The sequence below is a fragment of the Homo sapiens genome, chromosome 11 (genome assembly GCF_000001405.40).
Source record: "Homo sapiens chromosome 11, GRCh38.p14 Primary Assembly".
Lineage (NCBI taxonomy): Eukaryota > Metazoa > Chordata > Mammalia > Primates > Hominidae > Homo > Homo sapiens.
In genome coordinates, this window is record NC_000011.10 from 94,866,627 (window position 1) to 94,889,545 (window position 22,919).

Genomic DNA, 22,919 nt, shown 5'->3' on the forward strand with positions numbered 1-22,919 from the left:
CTTTACCCCATGGGGCGTGGGAGGGAAGAATGGGATAATGGTGGGAGGAGAGTGTCTGCCTGCTTTACCCCATGGGGCGTGGGAGGGAAGAATGGGATAATGGGGGGAGGACAGTGTCTGCCTGCTTTACCCCATGGGGCGTGGGAGGGAAGAATGGGATAATGGGGAGAGCACATTGGAAGAAGTGCTCTCTCGCATAAGGTAGGGGTGGTAAGTTTTTGCTGTATTGTTGTTGCATGGGCAGAATTCCCTAAGTGTGGTCTTAGCCAGGAGTAGGTTTCTTGGGGGCAGGCAGGCTTGTTGGCTGGCTGGGCTAGCCAAGCTGGAGGGGAAGCAGGCAGCGTGCTCAGACACAGGTCCTCCACATCCTTCCCCTGCACTCTGGCCTCTCCAGGGGTCTGGCCCTTCTTTGATGCATTTCCCCACATCAGATCGTGTTTTTGTTTCTCTGTGCAGCTGAGAGCCAGTGGTCCTCAGCATAAGACCCCAAAGGAGACTGGCTGCTCTGGGCCAGAGGGGATAAGAGCTTCCATATGAACCCGACAGAGTTGGGGGGATCAAAGGCTCCCAACCAGAATCTGTGTTTGAAGTCCCTCCACTGGTGGCTTCAGCAGCCCCTGCCCCCAAAGGAAATGCACTTCAAAGAAGACGTGTGTGGACAGCAGCTGAGATCATCAAAGACTGTCCCAAGGACATTTAGCTCCCACCCCAGCTAGAGAGCTGGGAGGCAGTGCTGAGCCAGGCCTGGTCAAGGAGTTTGAAAATTTGCTCAGCTCTGGTAGCAACCTCCCTGGGAGTCCCCTGTTTGTGACGTGCAGCCAGGCAGGCATCTCTGGTGTCTGTGCCCGTATGCCCCAGGACCTGGCATGTCTAAACCAGGCCTGGGAGCCGGAGGACTTGTTTGAAGGAAGAGCTGCTGTGTTCCCTGCACTGATATTCCTCCTCATTGTTGTCATTGGTGTCCACGTGTCACAAACACAGGGACTCTCCAAGGGGCTGAGGCAGGTTCATGGGTGACTGCACAGTTCCCCACATGTTGTCACCATTGCTTGCCTGATAGGCTCTGGAAGGAGGTGGAGGTGACAGCATATACCTTCCCAATTGCCCAGGGTATCCCAGGAGCTATGGCTGGCTAGTGACTTATTCAGCCTGTCACTCCCTACGAGGACATCCTGCAGACTCTGGAGTTTCCACAGGCTGGGCGATGAAGTGGAAAGAACATAGGTTGGACTCCAAGTCAGGCACAGTTGGGTTTGAGTCCCATTTCTGCTGCTTCTTAGCTGTGAGATGTTAGTTTTTGTGAGCTTCCATTTCCTTCTCCGTAAGACAGGATAAGGCCTGTCTCGCAGGAATGACATGCAGTATGAAGTGAGATGATGTGGGAAGCGCAGGTGAAGGCCTTTGCTGCTCAGCGTGGTCTGTGGACCAGTGGCACCAGCACCATCTGGGAGCTTCTTAGAAATACAGAATCCCAGGCCCTGCCTGCTGGATCAGGTCTTCCTTTTAACGGTATAGCCAAGTCATTGTTATGCACATTGCATTTTGAAAAGCACTGCTCTCGACAAACTGAACTGCCCTGAGTTCTAAATGGGCACCTTAAAACAGCTCTGGCGAGGATACTTTATGAATTGCTGGCTATCTAACCAGATAAGAGAACAAATACTTGATTGCGCTTACCGCCTTTTCTATAGGCTAGCATTCTAGGGTGCTGGCACTTTCCCGCGTGTGTGCTGTATTTAAAAATAAAAAGTTATCCTCCCACCCAGCTTTCCAGGAAGGCTCTGAGGAAAATGGACACCTCTGCACACCACGCCTCCCATTTCCATAGCCAGCATCCCCTCTTCCCCACCCCAGCCTCACTACTCTTGAGGAAGGGGGTAAGGAGAGGGCTAAGTGGCCTTTCCTAGGAGGCTGGCTGGCTTTCTGCTTCTGGGAGGCTACAGTTCCACCGCAGAAATGTGCAGGTAGCATGTTTATCTTTGAATCCAAGCCTGTGGGGGACCATCATCCATTACAAGGAGTGGGGTGGAATTGTGAACTATTCAGAAGAGCAGCAAGCCAATGGGAACATGTCTAGGACCGGGGAAGCCTTGTAGTTTTTCTTAAGCACACTGCCACGCTTCAGGCCAGCCCTTCTGGGCCACGTTGGTAACAGCAAGCATGGTCTCTGGAAAGCCTTGTGGGAACCTCCCTACCCCTCCTGCTGGCAATTAGGCACTTCTCTGTTCGTCCATACCACCCTGTGAATAATTTATTTGTATCCTACAGTTTATATATTAAGTTATAATCAGTTTACTTGACAACTACTTCTCCACTCCAAAAAAAAAAAACAAAAAAAACACACAAAAAAAACCTACAATTTTTTAGGAAGGGGACTAGGTCTTCCATTTTTTATTCTCTCAGTGTTTGTTATTTTATCAGCCTTGTAATAAGTGTTTATTAAATGCTTGGGGAATGAATCAATGAATGAATGAAGCAATCATCAATCAACAAGGAACAGATCTGCAAGACTAGATTTAAAAAAAAAAAAAGGAAAAAAAGAATGTTGAAAAATCTGTTCTCTGCCCTCAGGATTGCTGCTGGGGAAGGAGCACCATGAGCATGCCTCTGCCCCACTGCTGCCACCCCCACCCACCTCAGCACTGTCCTCCATAGCCTCCACTACGGCAGCCAGCAGTGCCCACGCCAAGACAGGCAGCAAGGACAGCAGCACACAGACTGACAAGAGTGCCGAGCTCTTCTGGCCCAGCATGGCCTCCCTTCCCAGCCGCGGCCGGCTGAGCACGACCCCTGCTCACAGCCCCGTCCTGAAACACCCAGCGGCCAAAGGGACCGCAGAGAAACTGGGTATGTGGGCTACCCCACCTTGATGCCCCTGAAAACTGTGGAACTGTCTGGCCTAAGAGAATCTTTTGTTGAGCTAGAGAGGAAGCAGGGGCACCCATCAGCTCTTACTCTATGGGGATGCTATTCTAATGCACTTAGGATATGTGTGCCCTTTCTTATTACGGGAATAAATATGCATATAGACACATCTAGTTTATTACTATTTGAAATGAGTGCACGGCTTGAGACTACCCTGGCAATGCATACTTTTTAACTAACCTTTCCCCGGATGGAGTGACAACAGACCCTCTAAGGGGCTGAATGCCCTCTGGTATGTTTGGGAGCCAGAATTAGGCACCAGGTACATCAAAGGCACAAGTTCACTGTTGCCTTCAGGGCTCTAACTTACCAGGGATTCTGGCCTCAGTGGAGGACATTGTGATGGAAGGAGAAGGTAGATTGACCTGCAGAGTCGGTTAACGTGTGGCACAGCACTTGGGCCAGGACTAACGAGCTGTTTAAAATATTTACGGGAAGACAACTTGGGAGAGGTGATCTTTGCAGTGAGTCCCTAAGTGTCCTGGGTAAGAATAGACCTGGCCTCTTAAGGCACTCCTCTTAAGCAAAGGAGTACCATGGCCATGGTCAGTGGGATCCCACAAATGTTCTTAAATGGGTAAGGCTTTAAGTAGCCAGAGAGTACCCAGCCTACCATTGGCTTCTCCACATCCTAAAACCTGAGACTAATCATGGTCATGGGGACCTCCCTTTTCAGGAATTCTTTTGAGGAGGTGCAGGCTCTGTGGGCCCTAAGTTAACTGTTTCCTCCAAGGGGGTTGTTTATTTCATTTTTCAAAGTAGACAAGTAAATACAATGTTGTCACTTTTTAAAGATGTGATTCTTTTCCAAGTAAGCCAGAGAACCTGTCAAAAGTGCCTAGCTCAGAATATGCACCTGATAGTTTTGAGTAGAGGGTGTGAGGGGCTCCTGTACAGAGTCCCACTGTCATCCTCACCTTCTGAATCCTCTCCCTTCACCATCCTGGTTTGTATTTGTGTCTGAATCCTGGCCCAGTCATTCTGCATGTTCCCACTGTGGGCTGGATCATCTCACATGCCCTGTGGTGAGAATCCTGGGTGTGCAGTGGTATCGGACGTGGGTCCATTTTAGAGAACCTGGAAAGCCTATGCCCCTCCTGAGGAATGGGCAGCTGATGTTTCCCCTCTATTTGGCAGAGAACTCTCCTGGCCATGGGAAGTCGCCTGACCACAGAGGCCGGGTCAGCAGCTTGCTGCACAAGCCCGAGTTCCCTGATGGAGAGATGATGGAAGTCCTCATCTAACTGCCATCCCTGTGGAATTTCAGTACAGAACACTGACAAACAAGGAAAGCGGCAGAGAAAGAAGAAAGACCTAGAAGGTTGTAGATGGGAAATCAGGAATGATTTGAACTGATAAAGATTTCAGACTCATAAGAACACATTTTATAAATGTTAAACACAAAAACTACATGACTGAAGATAGAAGAGAATGCGATGGATTTTATTACACATGGTGGAAGAGAGAAGAGGCGTGTAGGTTTGCAAACAAAGTTAAGAAATAGGAAACTGAATTTTTCATTGTACAGAAAATGTATCTCTTGGGGAGGGCCTGTGTACCCCCATTCTCTGATTATAAACAGATAAACCCAAATGTGGATCATCCTTGGAATACCCCCATTCTCCTTGCCTCTTAGCATGTTTGATTTAAGAAAAGCCTCCAGGAAATCTTGAGAGCCTGTCTTGGCATAATGCAGTGTCACCTGTGCCAACCATGGGGTGTCCCGTGAGTGTGAGTGTGGCAGTGAGAAGAAGCATCGAGGGCGAGGGGAATATGAAAGTTGGTCTTCACCTAATTACCTGTTTGGTTTGGATTTTCAAGAGATGATTGGGCTTCTTAGCTTTTCTGAATTCTGCAGTATTTTCTAAACAGGATAGATTATGATCTCGGTCCCCATCCATCCTAACTTCTGAGTTCATCTCTGTCTCTGCTTTACAGTCTTTAATTTTTTGTTGTTCCTTCATTTTTTTCTTTTTAATAAGACATAGCAGAATTCCTTAGGTATGGGATTTATGAGACCAGTACCTGAACTGTCATCATTCCTACTGTGTTTGATAGTGACCAGTAGGACAAAGCCACGTGCCGACTTCCTGGCTGCTTCACCTTTGCATAGCTGGGTTGCAGCTGCGAACCTCATTCTGACTGTGAACTAAGCAAGCTTTGAGGAGGCAGGAGATTCCGTGGGTCCCTGTGACATATTGCATTAAGATCGTGGCACTTGCTTTTTTGTCTTTCACATCGGCTGTCTTGCAAGGAGCTTGACATTTCCAAATTCCATTGCTCTGTTTGGGGAAGACTTAGGACAGCACTCCAGGAAACAGATGACAATTTACAGACAGTTGTCTCAGTGGTTTCCAGAATCTCACCAGCCTCCCGTATAGCTTCTTGTATTGAGGCTCATGAGCGTATTCACACTCTTTCCTCCCCCGCGCACGCCTCTGCTTGCTCTCGATCAGCATCCAGACCTCCGTGGCACCAGGTTGCCTCTGTTGTGAACTTCTTTTGTAACCTACCAGGCCAGTTGTATATACAGTGTTGTCAGGTTTTTCCGGGTTTCAGTTTTGAGGCAGTTTATTCAAAGTGAGACAGAAGTGCCACGGAAAAGAGGCAGGAGTGTGTTAGGTGGTGGGTCCATTAGACCTCTGCTGTGACATTGCATATTCAGCTCTGCAGACACTGGCTTCCTTTACAAATCTAAGAGATGCTGGATTAGAAAAGAGGAGAAGCTCATCGGGCCATCAGAGAGATGCTCCTACAGGGTCCTGATGTTTTTGTACCTCCAGGTCAGCTGGATCGCTGTTTTCCCAGTTCCCTTTGCTCATGCTTACTTAGAGGAAGAAAGAAAGGGGGGTACCTCTTCCAAGTACCTTCTAAATGAAACACTCAAGAGAGTGCTACTCAGGAAACTTTGCTTGGATCCTAAAATGGACTGGTCTTGGGTGTGTAACCCCGGTGAAGTTATAGCCTCCCCAAATTGAGGTGACAGAAGGAAGACAAGAGGTGTAAGCTGGAGAGGGAAGGGAAGAAATCAGTGGCTTTGGCCAGCCTCTGTGCCACCCAGTACGACAGAGGAGTGGGAACTGGCCCTCTGGGGCTCTGCTTGGCCATAGGCACTGCACATTGTGCCACCTGCTCATCACCTCCTCTAGTCTCACACTGAGCATCGGAGTACCTGTTGTGCAGACAGGAAAACTGAGGAGCTCTGAGAGGCTGAGCATGGAGCTCACCCCATGCCATAGGGTGTGGGAAGAGGGCACAGGAGGCCTCATCCATGGGGGAAAGGGTTGAGGATGGACATGGGTGGGGAGAGGGCATAGACATCCCTTCCTAATCTCTGTTCCCACCACATTTCATAGGAGATGAGTTAGGAGATGACAGCTAACTCTCTTAAGGACATTTTGACCCCAGTTTATGTTGGGGATGGACCAGAAAGGAAAATGTCTAGAGATAGGAAGGTAAATCAACTCTGCCAGCCCCTACCATCAGGTCTGGGCCACCCCAAACTTGGGCTGCCTCCCTTAGACATAGGTTAGAGTGAGAGACCCAGCTGTTTCTCCCGAAGCCTCGTCTTCATGCCCCAGACACCTGATTGCCCCAATCAGGTGTCAGACTTGCTTGCTCTTCGAGGTCCCCCTGAGCTGCCAAGTGTTTTCATTGTAAACAGACACATCGCCATGTTTCAGGGCTTCAACGGCATTGTATTTTGGACTTTGACCGTATTTTTTTTCTCTTAACCTACTGAGACTCTTCCTTAAGAACAGGATCTATAGCTTTAAAATGTCTTCTTCTATGGGAAATTTCCTGCCAAGCCAGGGCACTAAATTCTTTCATCATTAGAGCTTTCCTGAAGTCCGGCCATATACTGAGTACCTGCTCTGAGTTCTGGGCAGCTTACAATATCTTAAACAGATTTTCAGAAAAATAATGCAACTATATTTTCTAGTGTCAACTGTATGCAAACAGTGTGGTAAATACCTTTTAATTAGTCCTCCACCCACCTGGAGTACAGGGGGTGCGTTTATTATTCTGATTTCACTGATGAGGAAATGGGCTCAGAAAGGTTAAGTCCCTTCCTGAAATCTCACAGCCAGGAGAAGCTAGGATGATTTAAAACAAAGTTTGGAGAGGCACTGGGCATAGACCCTGGCTGTACAGCCTCTAACATGCGGCACTGCATCTTGGCAGTCTCTATGCCTGTCTGTGATGTGTGTGTGCACGTGTAACTACACACACACACACACACACACACACACACACACACAGCTATCACACATCTCAGAGCCTAAGAAATAGGACTAAGCCCAGAACTCCTAGAATCACCTATAAATGCTAGGCATAGATGGAAATTATTGTGTTCCACCAGAAGCACAGCTCCAAACTATACCTAAAAAATATTTCTGCACTTCCCAGAGACCTGGACTTCAAACTTTCCCAGTGGAGCCTGATTATAGAACTTGAGGGTCCTATCTCAGGATGAAGGGGAGAGGCCCTGGCTTCACGGGAAGGTATTCCAGCATTGTTCTGCTTCACCCTTGACTGCGTTGTCTGGCAGTTTCTGTGTGCTGCCAGGATATTATATGGAACTGGAGAAGTTGGAGTCAGGTCTCTGAAGCTAGAGTTTCACTAATTAGATGCCTCTGTACATGAGAACTATTACTGTCTGCAGGTCCATATAGCTAAGCTGCCAGGAAAAACACATTATCTTCCAAAACTTTCAGAGCATGTGCAGAACCCTTTCTTAGCGTTTTCTTCTCAGCATTTTCTCTGCCTCCCAGAGGCTGGCAGCCAGTGACACTGCAGAGTTCAGCATGTTCTAACCATGCACGCAGGGCAGGGGCTGCCTTGGCCCTCCTCAGGCTTTCGTTGGGAGAGCAGGCAGTGGTGGAGCCCTTCTGGGTGCAGTCCTCTGGGGTTGCTCTTTGGAACTCATGTATGAGTTTGACTCCACAAGGCTTGGCATGGATACCAAAACAGTTGCAACAAATTAGTTCTGAACCTGGAACAGAGAATTCAGTGCTTCTGTTACTCAGGAAGGAGGTGTTCAGAATGCCCCGTGCAGAGCAGCCAGTCATTACTCTTGTTTGTTCTCACCTGGGTGCGCACCCTCATGATGCAGTGGCTGTAGCACCTTCATGCCAGGTGCTGAGAGAATGGGAAATTCTTCCTCCCCATTGACCTGAGTCCCAGAGACTTAGGGACACAGACTTCAGGTGAGGCTGCGGACCTCAGAAGCAGTGGATAATAGATTGGGGCATTAAAAGCTTTTGAGGCAGGGGGCTCATGTTTTGACTGCAGGGAGTTATGCTGAGCAAAGAGATGTGTTTTTCAAAACCAGGGTTCAAAACCAGTGTCCACGCTGGAGTAAGTGGAGCATGCTTCTCTGTGTTCTCTGAATGATCTTGCACTCCTCTTAAGCAAAGGAGTACCATGACCATAGTCAGTGGGATCCCACAAATGTTCTTAAATGGGTAAGGCTTTAAGTAGCCAGAGAGTATCCAGCCTACCATTGGCTTCTCCACATCCTAAAACCTGAGACAGCCTTGGTATATGCTTTATAAATGTTTCTTTTCTTGTTGTTTAAGTAATTAAAGTGTTTAAAATGTCTTCATTAGATGTGACGATTGTTTAATGAGTTTGCCTCTGACGTGTGGCTCCATGGGAGATAGGCAAAGTAATTAAGAAGTTACCAGAAATTGGTCGGCTGGGGAAATGCAAAAGTTAGCATTTCAGTAGTGAATTTCTCCTGGAACAAATGAGCAATTTTTCCTCTTTCTCTTAAGTAGTATACCCTTTTCTCACTTAGTAATTTAATGGTATATAAAGACATGTGTATAAGTGAGTGCATACATATGAGGTATGACTATAGGGTTGTTTGTGGGAATTTCTTTTCCTAACATACAGAAGATCAAAGTGTTCATCTCACCCCGCCCTCCTTAAAAGGTGTCTTTTGGGAGACTATGTGCTCATTGACTATAGTGCTGCCAAGTAAAAATATCTTGGGAACTCTTCTACTAGAATGGCCTTCAGGGCTTGGCATGTTCCTTTGGTTTACCCTTAGAGATGAGAAATCCTCCTCCTTTGAGGATGGATTTAAGTTCTGGAAATAATCTCAAGTGCTTGATAGCACAGTTGGATGAAAAAAGATGGCAATTAAGGTAAGTTACACCATTTTTGTTTCTAAAAAAATCCCTAAGAAATTTCTTGGAATGAGTCTTTGGCCTCAGAGCCTCTCAAAGTGTCCACTTCAAGGGGGGATCATCCTCATTAGCACACAGATTTTTAAAAATCAATTCTCTTGCCATGCCTCCTATGTGTTCACATCTCTGCATACACTACAGATATAAGTGCATAATCATTCATATAAACATCTGGTAGGTATTCTGTAAAACTGTGTTTACTTTAGTGCATGTTATTGTCATGTTATGATGTGACTGGGGTGTTTCTTTGTCATGAAACTTTGCTTCTTCACAGAATTAGAATACTGCTCTCTCTATATTGAACTACATATACAGCGTTTTCTTGTATCAGCCCCCAAAGTCTGGATGCCCGGTGTTGTGTTTACATGTGATTGTGCCTAGGAGTCTGTTCACATAGAGACACCTGTAAGTATTTATTACAAAACGGAATGTAAGCAAATATATCCACATTGGTTTTATTTGAATCAAGGTGTTTTTTTGTTTTTTGTTTTTTTTCCTTTTGAGGAGGAACAGGGAGCCTCCTCCTCCATGAGCACTTACAGAATTGTGTAAAATTCTGTGAAACAGTGGTAAGCATGGGCACCCGATTTCAGCTGTCCTGCTGCCGCTGCCCTCCAACCTGCTCTGTGTGTGTGTGTCGCTGTGCTTGGTGGCAGTGTGCCGTGCTCGTGCCGGCTCTTCCCAGCAGACTGGTATCTGGCTGTAACGTTTGACGTCTTCATATTGCCAGTCTGTATTGAGGGGTGATGTACATGGCCATACAGCCAAATGGGTCTGTGTACCAGTGTGGGGATTCCAAGAACACTGCCTGTCCCCCACAGCAAATATTGATGCTGTTGGTCAGCCAAAGATTTTCCTCTCCTTTGCTGCTTAAACTTGTGCCTTAATATTGTACATAATAAATGGATAAAATGGCAAAATGACTCTTTTCTCTCGCTTGCTCCTTTCTTCCTTAAAGAACTTATAAACTGATGCTCAATAAATGTTTCATTTCATTGTACCCCACTTAATGTTTTGCTTCAGAGGCCCTCGGCTCCCCCCTTGTGGGCCTCACGCTGACACCAACACGCAGCTCTTGACTCTGAGGAGGAAATGAATCATCCAGACCATCGCAGCTTGCAGCCCGCCCACTCCTGGCTCCTCCAGACAAATAAGGAGAAAGGAAACGCAGGGAGACTGTGTGCCTGGGTGTCCACTTTGATCACATGTGAGTGTCCACTTTTGAGGTTCCTTAGTTCAGAGCCTGCAAATGATCACTGTAAACTGGCTCTGTCTCAGGAATTCACCCAGGCAGCCTGGAGTCAGCCATGGCTCTCTGAGCCTGAGGATGGAAATGGGAGATGGGAGCTGTTTTGTCAGTGTCTTGGGGTCACAGGAGAAGAAAGCGGGACTTTGGTGGGAAGGAGTCACACGGTAAATGGGCGAAATCCAGGCCAGGAGCCTCAGAGACTGAAGCAGAACAGAGTAAGACTCATGAGAATCTCCACATGAAGGCCCCTCCCCTGGGATCACTGTGTTTAAGAGAGAGTGGTTCCTGCTGTTTATTCTCTGGTCATGCCTTTTCAGCGAAAGCCTGTCTCCTCACCCACCCCCAGCCCTAGCATAGGAAAAGCTTCCTTGATGTGAGCTCTGGGGGAGTGTGAAGGATGCATCTCTAGCCCCCGAGTAATCATCAGTGTGATTTATATGCATTATCTTCTTCAGTCACAACAACCTCGTCATCATCCCCACTTTAAACCCCAGGAGACTGAAACTCAAACAACCCTGGGCAAGTAATGTGCAAAAGATGGCAGGGTGGGGATTTGAACCCAGGTCTACCTGTTGCAGAGTCAAGGGACTTGCATGTGCAAGTTGGGTGGATGCTGGGAGGCAGGAGGCTCATGCTCCTGTCTGCCTGGCTTCTTGTCTGTCCTGCTTCTACCCCGAGGACTCCTCTGCAGGGAGCGCCATCTGTGTGCGTGTGCAAATATGACTCAATTCACGTAAAGATGCACTCTTGCAGCTCCCCAGTCTCTACCTGTCAGGATGACTCCAGGAAGACAGCTGGAGTACTGCATTTGTGTTTAGGGTTTGTATGACCCTTCCGAGTTGTCACCTTCCCACGCTGATCCCACATGTGTACATCATGCGAGCCACCCCCTGAGCTCTGACCTTTCTCTTGGCCCCTTGTACACCCCAGGAGAGAAGTTCTCAATCCCAGCAGTTCTTTGTAGTCATTCCAAGTGGTACACGTCTGTGCCCTGAAGGAACACTGGCCTCCATTCTGACATCTGGGCTGGGGCCTCAGGAACCACAAGAGATAGCAATGTGTTTTAAGTTGCGCAGGCCCATCGTGATAAGGAATTAGGTCACAAATGGGAAATAAATCAGAAGCAATGAAATTCCTTTCTTAAAGTTCTGTGTTGTCAAAATAAAAGAAGCTTTCTGTCATAAAAAAATGTCATTATGGTTTACTGTTTCTGTTGCCTTTTTATCAAGCATGACAGGGTATCTTTGATGTGCTTCCTTTATCTGCCTCTGTTCCTGGCAGGTAGACATCCCGAGACCATTCCAAGTGAGCCAGGACTCCCTCTCTTGGTGAGTCTATCATCCTCAAAGTTCCTCTCTTTTTAGAATATTGAGAGATATATAGGTAATTTTTTAAATTGAATCTGGAGTTTATGGGAACCTGGGAAGCCCTCCATATCTGATGTGGAGTTCTATCAAAGGGTAACTCTCCCCAAGTTTTTGGAGACTCATAATGTGTATACAGATAATATAAGGATCATAGACTACATCGTTGAGTGCTTTGGAGTATAGTAATATGAATTATAGTCCTATTGTTAGAAACTAACAGTGCCTAACTTTGTGTCCTGATGGGTTTTGCCTCTCTGAATGTGCAAGGGAGGCAGGATCTAAGTTTTATTGAATTGGCTTTGGAATAATATTTCATCTTAAGAACCCCAGAGGTAGGTATTATGGGACATTATTACCCCTGCACGTCAAATGAGGAAACAGACTCAAGAGAAGTGAGGTGTGCACTTGGGCTCTGCAGTAGAAGCCAGGCCTGCTCATTTCTAAAGCTTTTGTTCTCTCTCTGCACTGAATTGTTGCCTTTGACTTTAGTTGTGTGTTTTTGTTTTTTTTTATGGTTTGCTTGTGTTTGTTTTTAATCGCTCTAAAGAGAATTGGTAAGCAGATGGCTAACTGAAAAAACATTATTGAGGCCCTTGTTGGAAATGTGACTTTTTTTTCGGCCAAAGTCATATACCGGACAGAAAGTCTGGATCAGTAGCTCTGGTCCGTGAGATGTATACTTAATCTTTACCTGCTAGATTTTGTTTACTAACATTCACCTGGTAGGTAGCATGGTGGAGAAGGGACCAACAGGCAGAAGCTGTGTCAGGTCTGCACAGGGGCTGGGGACCTGCTCTTGGTTTTCCCCAGGTACCTTGTGAAGCCACAGAACTTGTGGCCCAGGAGTGCTGAGTGTAAAATGGAAGTGTCTGTGAGTCTAATGAAATTCTTGATTGTACCTGACAGGCATCTATGCCTGGTTTCCCGATCACCTGAACCTTGGTGCCTTCCCTTCCATATACATGGCTCTGCTTCTGCCCCATCTACTCAGTCATCTCTGCTAGGGTCCCCAGTCACCTTGGGCTCCTCCCCCACTCTCTCCTTTAGCTAGTTGGTCACCTGTTCCTGCCTACTTCACCCTCCCATGTTGCTTCTGTACTTTTATTTTCTCCATCCCCATGGCCTTAGTTCAAGACTTCATCTCTCTCATGGACAATTACAGTAGCCTTCTGCCTACTGTCTCATCCTACTCTATTCTTGACAAGGACACCAGAGAAACAAGAGTAATAATGACATTGATTCATTGTCATTATGCACCCAACCTCCCGTGAGCCTTTCCCATATTAGCACATTGAATTCTTACAATCACTGTTATTATAGTTCCATTGTACTGATGGAGAAACTAAGAAGTAGGGAATTTAAGCCTCTTGCCCAAAGTCCTAGAGCTTGTGAGTGCAGGGCTGGGATCCAAGCCCAGATAGACTGGCTCCAGAGCCTCCAGACCACACTGTTCTTCCCCAACCCGAGTTTCTAGAGGGATGTCTGATAATGTCACTCTTTTGAGGGAAATTGCCACAGCACTATTAGCCCCCTGTGGCCTTCAGGATAAAGCTGTGGCATTCATGCCCTGCACAGTCTGACCCCTGCCCTCTTCCCTGACTAGTTTCTCTCCACTTCCCTTTCCACCCCTACCTTCAAGTTGCTCTAGGAACCACACTGTGTCCATAATCTACTTTGTGTGTTTCCATTTCTGCACCTATCCGTGGGGTCCCTGGGATTGGGATGCCTCTGGGATTGCGATGTCCATCTGTCCAATCTAACTCATTCTTCAAGGTGAGGCTCAAATGTCACTTTTCTCAGGAAGGTATTTCCCGTCACCAGGGTCAAAATTAATTGCTCCTCTTCCATTATTAGCTGAGTCACCTGGAGAAAGTTGTTGAACTTCTGAAAACTTCTTCTTTGCAAGATGTCATGGAGCAAGTACCATGTCTGTTTTTTCATTAATGTGAATCAGGCACCTAATGCAGTTGCTGGCATACCACAGGTGCTTGAGTGTTGACTGAATGAGTCAACCCTTGAGTGTTGACTGAATGAGTCAAGGATTTAATGAGAGAAGAGTTGTAATGTATCTAAAATGACAGTGCTGTGCATCATAGCATCCATCCAGCTCTTGCCCCAAGCCGTCTCCTGTTATAGTGAACTACGTACACAAGTGTCTGTCAGCTCATCTGTTTGGGGTAGGAACCCCGACTTGTACCTAGAGTAGATGCTCATTAAAAGTTAAACCGACTGTGAATTCTCCCAAGCTTCTTATTGCATATGTTCAGTGACTGTTGTCAGGGGAACTGGAAGCAGAGATCCTTAAGTAAAATTTTATTTAAAAATTACTGTGCAAGTAATGCTATTTGTTTTTAAAAACAATCAAATGAGAATACAGAGGAGAATACGAAGAAGCCACTACCTCCTCTAAATTGCTGCATGTAGCCATTCTGTTAAGTCTGGAGGATTTCCTTCTAGGCTCCTCTACAGATATGTACAACCAAATAAATAGATATGAGTGAATGAATATAAGACCATGCTACTCATACAACTAGGTTTTTTTCATTCAACAGTAGGTCATAGACAGGTTTCCTAGGCAGCACGTGTAGATCTCTCTTATTGTGGTTTATGGTGGTATGTGTTCCTTTGTGTGGAGGAAGGGGAGTTTACTGAAACCTGAGGGTGCTCCTGCACCACCACCCAGCTCCGCAGAGCATTTCCCCAGCAATAAGGGAGAGCTAAGAGCATGGGGAATCTGGGGAGATGTTTTCTCTCCTAAGAAAGAGGCCAAAACTTGCAATATATAAGTCAGGCCTGGCCAAATGCTGGCCCTGTGTTCCTCCAGTGCATCAAAATGTTTCCATTCGCCTGTCCAGGCACTAAAAAAATTGATGATTTTCATGATGACATTGGGATCCCAAGGACTCAACAGCACCATGGCCCCAGCTTGATGGCTCAGCCCAGTCTGGCCTGGAATGCCCTGTTTCCATCCAGAAACCCTCTTTCAGCTCTCTGAGGGGCTGATTTTTCCATCCAGTGCCCTACCCTTTGGCCTAGAGAACACATTTTCCTGGCATAATTCGACTCAGCCCTAGTCCAGTCTGACTTTGTTCAGTGAGTTGATGACATTGATCCTTCCCTTGTCCCTGGCACTTCCATTTTGCAGAGCATCTATCAGAGTTTTACAAATATTTAGCTTTAGGAATAGCCTGTAAAAAGAAGCCCAGTTTATGATTCACTCATCAGGTTACTACTAAAAATTAATTATGTGCCCAGCATGCTTCAGATCTTGGGGGGAAGCCAGATAATACAGAATGCCATGGTGATCCTGCCCTGAAGGTAGACGAGGGGCAGGGAAGTGGACTGATTTCCTACTGTGCGCCAAGCATTTTATGTCATCCGTGGCATTTGGTCCTCATAACAGCAAGGACAGTGAGATTCAGAGAGGCTAAGAAGATTACCAAGGTCTACACTTACCCAAGTAAGCAGCAGGGTGGCATTTGAGCCCAGGCCTGGATGACTTTAAAAGTCAGGACGTTTCCACAGCATCATGCAACCTCCATGTTCAAGTCTAATTGAGGTCACAAGTATGATAAACAATTTGATCTTTGTCCTTGTTGGAGGATGTACACCAGGATCTCTGGACATATCTATCAAGCCCCCGCCACCCTCGGCATTTGGAGGGAAATTGGCTGATGGTACCCTGCCATGTACTGCAGGCCCCAGCTCTGAGACAGCACGGTAGACGACCCGCCTGGGTAGAGCAGACAGAGGCCCCACCAAAGTTTGCATGTGGAAGTCTCACATTTGGATACATTTAGAGAACCCAATCTGAATCTTCCCCCACTTCTATCTCTGAGCGCTCCGTTGCCGCCAGCAGGGGCCATCTACTGCCTTGTCCCAAGCCTCTCCAGAAAAGACACTGAGAGGGGCTCCTCAGAAGAGCCAGTGGTGTCCCCTGTGCTCCTCTCTTGCTAGTCTATGTAATTTCTCAATCTAATTTTACCTGGAAGAGAGTTAGTTAGAGGTGGTAACCATACTTTTTACCTTTAAAAAAATTAGATGTCAATACTTCATATATTGATTAATAACAAATATGTTTTGTTGCATCACTGCTCCTCATCGCCATGAAATTCACAGGCTCAGGCTTGGGTACGTGATATAACTTTCCAGGCATGTACAACTTATGTTGGACATCAGTCATAAACAAGTAATGAGCAGAAACTGCAAAGCCAGCCACTTCTTTAAGTCTTAAGTGCCTCTCAGTCAAGACCATCACAGTGTTCTGGAGGGGAAGATGAAAGCCCACTAAATTAGGGCTTCTGGTAACAAGCAAACAAAAAACAGACTCCTGTTTCCTGTTTTCTGTAGAGTAACACTGGGCATTCAATGAGTGTCCAATGAATGTGAAATCTCTGCTTAGTAACATCCCCAGCCTGTGCATAATGCCCTTCTTCTAAACAGCACAGGTATGTGTTTTATGCTATTCACACTGCTGGGAGAAACAGCTAGGGATGGCTGCCATGATTCCTTTTAACATAACTGGGAGAAAGGCAAACAGAGAGCTTGGGTGCTTTCCGAAGGTCATGGTGAAAGGCCAGCAGAGCCAATTAGAGGCGGGCCCTCTTGCAGCCCTGTTGGTGCTTTCTGGCCAAAGTAGGCCATCTATGCTAAAGTTTTGTGGGCATTGGGTCTTTTCTGAGCCCTGCACCTTACCCTGCCTGTGGATCAGTAAACTGACAAGTGATGGGCTTGGCCTGGATTGGCCAGGGAGTCACCTCAGAAGAGCTTCATGTTCTTACTTGTATGTCTAATGAGCCAACTGCTTCCACAAAGCCATTGTTCAGGGCTGAGGAGTTGGGATTTCCCCCAGTGGCAGAGCCAGGAGGGGTGGGCCCAGTATTGTGAGATCACAGCAGAAAATGCGTTGGGACTCTTTCTTTGACAACCTTGAAACCCTTTACCTTACATCAGGGCTGAGATCTGAATGGTCATGGCAGCAAGGTGGCCGATTAAAACTAAAGGGGATCTTTCCCAGGGATAAAAGGGCTCATGGCAAATACAGTGCCCTTTTGCTTTTGAGATATAGAGTTGGAGAGATGCTACCTGTCACAGTCTGATCAATCCAGGTCACTTGGGACCACAAGTAGCAGCTGGTTCCTTAGGAATCTCAGCATTTGAAAAATGTACAAGGCATCACAAATAATTCATGATGTAAATAATTCATACTGAGAAACACACTTAAAAGTAACAGACACACAGACACACACATTAGTTTAACATTTTCATTATGTTAGATGAAGGGTGCAAAGATGAATAAGATGCTATGTCTGACCCCCCAGAAGCTCACAGTCTTGGCAAAAAGACAAGAAAGGTCCACAATATGGTGTTTACTGTCAAACTCATGAAATGTAGACTGTTCTATTGGTCTAAAAGAGTGGGGAAATAGAAAAGCAGGTGACATTTGAGTTGAACTTGGAAGAATGAGAAGGGAAATGGGGCTGAAGCTAGAGAGCGAGGGAACAGCATGCCCAGATGCATTTATTTTGCTTATAACTGCAATTTGAGCAGGGCTTGATGGGGGTAGTTCATCTCTGCTGGGCCCCACTGGGGTGGCTCAAAGACCAGGGGCTAGAACAGTGGGGGGTCCTGGGGCATCTTCATTTCATTGTGGTCTCTTCTCAGGGTCCCTCTGGCATAGTCCAGGGAAGCTGGACTTGCTGCATGATAGCTCAGGATGTCAAAGGGACATGTTGAGAACACAAGGCAGGAGATTTCTCCTTTCATGACCTAGCCTCAGAGGTCACTCAGCCTCACTTCTGCCACATCTACTGCCAAGATAGTTACAAAGGCCTGCCTGGGTTTGAGAGGTGAGGGTAAGGGGATAAACTTCATCTCTTTACATGAAAATGGCAAGGTTCCAGAAAAGTACACAGGACCAGAAACACTGCTGTGCCCACTTTGGAAAACAAAGTCTGCTACAGTGGTATCAGCTGTGGGCCAGATGCAGCATCAGAAGTTTTACATACATTTTCTCATTTTCCTCTCCCTTCTGCCTGTGAGGCAGGCGTCATTCTCCTCATCTCATCTATCAGGAAGTTGAGGCTTGCAGATGGGAAGTGGCCTGCCTGAAGTCACACAGCCAAGAAGCGGAGAAGCCAGCCCCAAGTGCAAGACTGAGGGCCCCAAAGCCTCTTACCCTCTCACTGCTGCTGCTTCAGCCTTAGGAAGGAAAGCACGGAGACAGTCCCAGAATGTTGCTACTACTACATAGGGAAGAAGATTTATGAGCTGTACAGGCAGTTGAATCAACCGATCTTGCTGACCAATTGAATTCATACCGTATCTGCATCAGATACGCTATAGGGCAGACTTTTTATTGTGTGAGCCATTGTAAAGCACTGCAAATCCACTCCCCACATTCACACCAGGGACTTAGAGCTGACAATTACAGATCACTTACCAAGGGGCTGGGCTTTGTGCTAAGCCCTTTGCAGGCATCATCTAATTTAATATTCACAGTAACCGTTGAGATGGATATTATTATTGTTATTACTCTTAGGCTTAAAGACATTAATAGATGTGACATGAGAGGACATCACCCCAAGGGATCCATCCACCCACATGAAATCTTTCCACATCCAGCAGTGTGATAGCCTGAATGGATGCACTCTCGGCCATGGAGTGGTTAGGAAAGTCTCTCTCTCTGGAGTCAGACTGGGAGAGTTGGAAACCAGCTCCACTAGCTGTGTAACCTTGGGCCAGTCACTTAACCTTTCAGTGCATCAGTGTCCTCACCTATCAAATGGGAATAACGGTCCCCTTCTGACAGAGGTTCCCATGAGGAGCATGAGACAAGCCTGAACAGTATTCAGTGCAACCTTGGCACAGAAAGAGCTCTCCATCTGTTCAGCTATCATTATTAACATGGAGCTGATGCCCGTGGCTGCTTGGGCTTGACTCACAGACCACGAGATTTCATGGTTCAGTGATCGGCACTGTTTTCTACAGAGGGCCAGGAAGCAACTTGTTTACACTCGCCTTGTTGGGGTGGAGGTGGGGGTAAATCTTCCTAGGCACACACAAAGGATCAACCAACCAGTGAAATGGGCAATGAGGTCAGGGTGTGAAGGGAGGAATTTGCAGATGCACTGCAGCTTCTTGGATGCTGGAACCTGCAGAGAGCTGGCCCCAACCCCAGGGGTGCAACTGATGCACTGAGTCAGGGCCTGCACCCTTGTGCCTGGTGAGGGCAGGAGGCCCTGGATTTAGGCTTATGTGGTCTTTCTTAGCAAAGCAAGGACCTTCATTTTTAGCCAAACTCACTTCTGCTTTGAGGAGAAAAGAAGGGAGGTATCTTGATTATACACAGGGAGGCACAATGGAGCAAGGACCTGCTTCAAACTTTGAATTAGGTCCAATTTTTTTACCAGCTGGGACTCTATCCAGAGTCTTCTGTCACATGGGAAAATCATCCTGGCTGGGGTATCATCCTACTGTTAATAAAGCTGCACAGAGAGTCCCAGTACAGTGGCTACTGCCTGTAATTCCAGCACTTTGGGAGACCAAGGTGGGAGGATCACTGAGGCCAGGAGTTTGAGACCAGCCCAGGCAACATAGTGAAACCCCATCTCTACAAAAAATTTAAAAATTAGCTGTGTGGGGGCACTCATGCCTGTAATCCCAGCACTTTGGGAGGTCAAGGCAGGAGGATCACTTGAGCCCAGGAGTTTGAGGCTATAGTGAGCCATGATTGTGCCACTGCACTTCAACCTAAGCAACAAAGAGAGATGTGGTCTTAAATAAATAAATATATATATAAATAAATAGAGCTACAATGGAGAGGCTTCTATTAAGATCAGCAGGCAAGTGCCTCCAAGGAATCAGCCCACAGCCAGACTGAAGGGAGCTGGGCAGGGAGCTCCTCAGAAGAGCTTTACAGTCTTCATAAAAGCTTTTACAGGTACTTTCAGAAGAGTGAATAGAGAACCAAGACCCAGAGCTCCAGAATGTCCCTATTTTTTGGCTTACCTACCCTGGGGGACATCCATTGTTGCATTGCGGGGGTGCCCAGCAACTTTCCCCCTTTGTCTGGCCCTCTAACCTGATGGCTGGACTAGGGGCTGCTGTCCTCTTACAGACCACACTTCCTGTCTGTTACTGGCAGGCTCAGGCTACTTCCTTCACCACTCACCTCCTCTTTACCGCAGGTGACGCAGGTATCTATGCTGGACCTGTTAGGCAGAAAGTCCTCTGCTGGCATTCTGCATCCCCTCCATACAGAATTGTTCAGCTTGAACCAGGTTCCAGTCCTCTCTGGCAGAAGAGCTGGAATCAGCCATTGGACAGGTACCCAGCATTATGGAAGCAGGTCTGAGAGAGAATACAGCAGACAGAAGTGGAGAGGAGAAGCTAGGAGTATCCTGGCTGTGTTCCTGCCCATAGTTCCCATCATCCTAAGCCCAGGTGCAACCAGGTGTCCTAGTTGATTTGGTTATGTGAACCAATACATCACTCCTTTAGCCTTAGCTAGCATGTTGGCTTACTCTCCTTTGGTGCCAGAAAAGGCCCAAGTAAGGCAAACATATGGAGGGCTGTATTAGTCTGTTCTCACACTGCTAATAAAGACATATCCAAGACTGGATAATTTATAAATAAAAAGAGGTTTAATGGACTCTCATTTCCACATGGCTAGGGAGGCCTCACAATCATGCCGGAAGGTGAATGAGGAGCAAAGTCATGTCTTACATGGCGGCAGGCAAGGCAAGAGAGCTTGTTCAGGGAAACTCCCCTTTATAAAACCATCAGCTCTCGTGAGACTTACTATCATGAGAATAGCACGGGAAAGACCCGCCTCCATGATTCAATTACGTCCGACCAGGTCCCTCCCATGACATGAGGGAATTGTGAGAGCTACAATTCAAGATGAGATTTGGGTGGGGACACAGTCAAACCATATCAAGGGCTCACGATAAAGGGTAATTAGAAGATACATTATATGTCCTTGCCCCTCAGGCTTCCATAAAACCTCCCTTCCAAACACTTCAACACCAGTCCATCATGTGTAATCACAGTGGACTTCCTGTTGGAAGACCTGCTGAAGTAGCACTCCAAAGGCTCCAAAGGTGGGATACCCATCCCCTCCTTATGTATCAGCAACTCCTCAGGCTTTCTGTTCAACTACATCTACTTTTTGTTCCTTCCCTTTCTTCTCCTATTCCCATCCCTTCCTTTCCTTTCTGAAAAGAAAAAAAAACAAAAACAAAACAACAACAATAAAGAATATAGACATGCCTGGCTTAAAAACTCAGCCTTCCTAACAGGTGGCCACATGCTTCCTGAGATCTGGTGACAAGGAATGATCCTTTACTTCCTACAGTGCATTTCAAGTAGGAGTTTTAAAAGACTCTGTTTACCCAAAACTTTCAAAGAGCTCATCAATTTTGTGTTCTGAAAATCTGTCACTCCTTTTTCTTATCTCCTTTGAACTTCACTAGCATTTTGCTCAGTATATCCAAATATGGGCATTTTTGCCTCTCTCACATTTGATTGCTTGCTTGTGTTTTCTTTCCTTTTTAGTTGACATGTACTAATTGCAAATATTTACAGAAGAGATATATTTTGATTCTTGTATACAACATGTAATGATCAAAACAGTAATTAGTACATCCATCACTTCAGACACTTCTCATTTGTGTTGGGAACAATCAAAATCCTCTTTTCTAGCTTTTTGAAAATATACAATAAATTATTGATAACTACATTCACCATACAGTGCTATAGAACACTAGAATTTATTCCTGTGATTTTGTATTCGTTTACCAACCTCTTTCTAGCCTTTCTTTTCCCCTTCCCCTTCCTAGCCTCTAATAACTGCAATTCTGTTCTCTACTTCAATGAGCTTGACCTTTTTTAGCCGCCACATGAGTGAGAACATACTATATTTATCTTTCTGTGCCTGACTTATTTCACTTAATTATAATTCACTTAACTATGAACTCTAGGCTTATCCATCTTGCTGCAAATGACAGGATTTCATTTTTTATGGCTGAATAGTATTCCATTGCATATATGTGCCACATTTTCTTTACCCATTCATCTGCTCATGAACATTTAGGTTAATTCCATGTCTTGGCTATCATGAATACTGCCATGATAAACATGGGGTGCAGGTATTCCTTTAGTATATCTATTTCTTTTCCTTTGGATAAATACCAGTGGTGAGATTGCTAGATCATATGGTAGTTCTATATATTTTTTTGAGAAAACTTCATACTGTTTTCCACAATGTCTGTAATGAATTTACACTTCCACCAACAATGTAGAAGATGTCCCTTTTCTCCATATCTTCACCAGCATTTTTTTTTGTCTTTTTGATAAAAGCCATTCTAACTGGGGTAAGATAATATCTCATTGTGGTTTTGATTTGTATTTCCCTGATGATATGTTTAGAAGTGTTTTTTGTATACTTGGCCATTTGTATGTCTTTTTTAGAGAAATGTTTATTCAGATCCTTCGCCCATTTTTCAATTTGAATTTTATTTGCAATTGAGTTGTTTGATTTTCTTATATATTTTGAATATTAGTCCCTTGTCAGATGTCTACTTTGCAAATACTTTTTTCCATTCTACAGATTGTGTCTTTACTCTGTTGATTCCTTTGCTGTGCAGAAGCTTGCTAGTTTGATATGGTCCCATTTGTCTATTTTAGTTTTTGTTGTCTGTGCTTTTGAAGTCTTACACATAAAATATTTGCCTAGATAAATGCCGTGACACATTTTCCCTATGTTTTCTTCCAGTAGTTTTACAGTGTTAAGCCTTACATTTATGTCTTTAATCCATTTGGGGTTGATTTTTGTATGTGGTGGTACATATTCTTCTGCATAAGAATATCCAGTTTTCCTAGCACCAGCAACTGAAGAGGGTGTCTTTTCCCCAGTGTATGTTCTTGGCATCTTGGTCAAAAATCAGTTGGCTGTAAACACATGGATTTCTAGGTTCTCTATTCTGTTCCATTGGTCTATGTGTCTGTTTTTATACCAATACCATGTTGTTTTGGTTACTATACTAGCTTTGTAGTATATTTTGAAGTTAGGTAGTGTTAGGCTTCTAGCTTTGCTATTTTTGCTCAGTATTGCTTTGGCAATTTCGGTTTTTATGTGGTTCCATACAAATATTAAGATTGCTTTTCTATTTCTGTAAA

The 22,919-nt window shown here is 45.7% G+C and overlaps 1 protein-coding gene across 7 annotated transcripts in view, besides 1 other annotated feature; it reads left to right on the forward strand.

The window, feature by feature from the left end:
* Positions 1-10,122, forward strand: part of AMOTL1 (angiomotin like 1) — a 170,289-nt gene extending 160,167 nt beyond the window's left edge. For all 7 annotated transcript variants that reach the window (XM_005273798.5, XM_011542626.3, NM_130847.3 and 4 more), the window contains 2 exons: positions 2,572-2,847; positions 4,063-10,122. In XM_005273798.5, coding sequence (XP_005273855.1) covers positions 2,572-2,847; positions 4,063-4,169 — 383 coding nt within the window. In that variant the 3' untranslated portion in view covers positions 4,170-10,122. The remainder of the gene's footprint in view (positions 1-2,571; positions 2,848-4,062) is intronic.
* Positions 9,798-10,309: an enhancer, noted in NCBI's record as "H3K4me1 hESC enhancer chr11:94609589-94610100 (GRCh37/hg19 assembly coordinates)". NCBI's record gives its function as "activates a minimal SCP1, AML or CMV promoter by ChIP-STARR-seq in primed H9 embryonic stem cells {active_cell/tissue: H9 hESC(primed)}" and the evidence as "EXISTENCE:reporter gene assay evidence [ECO:0000049][PMID:30033119]".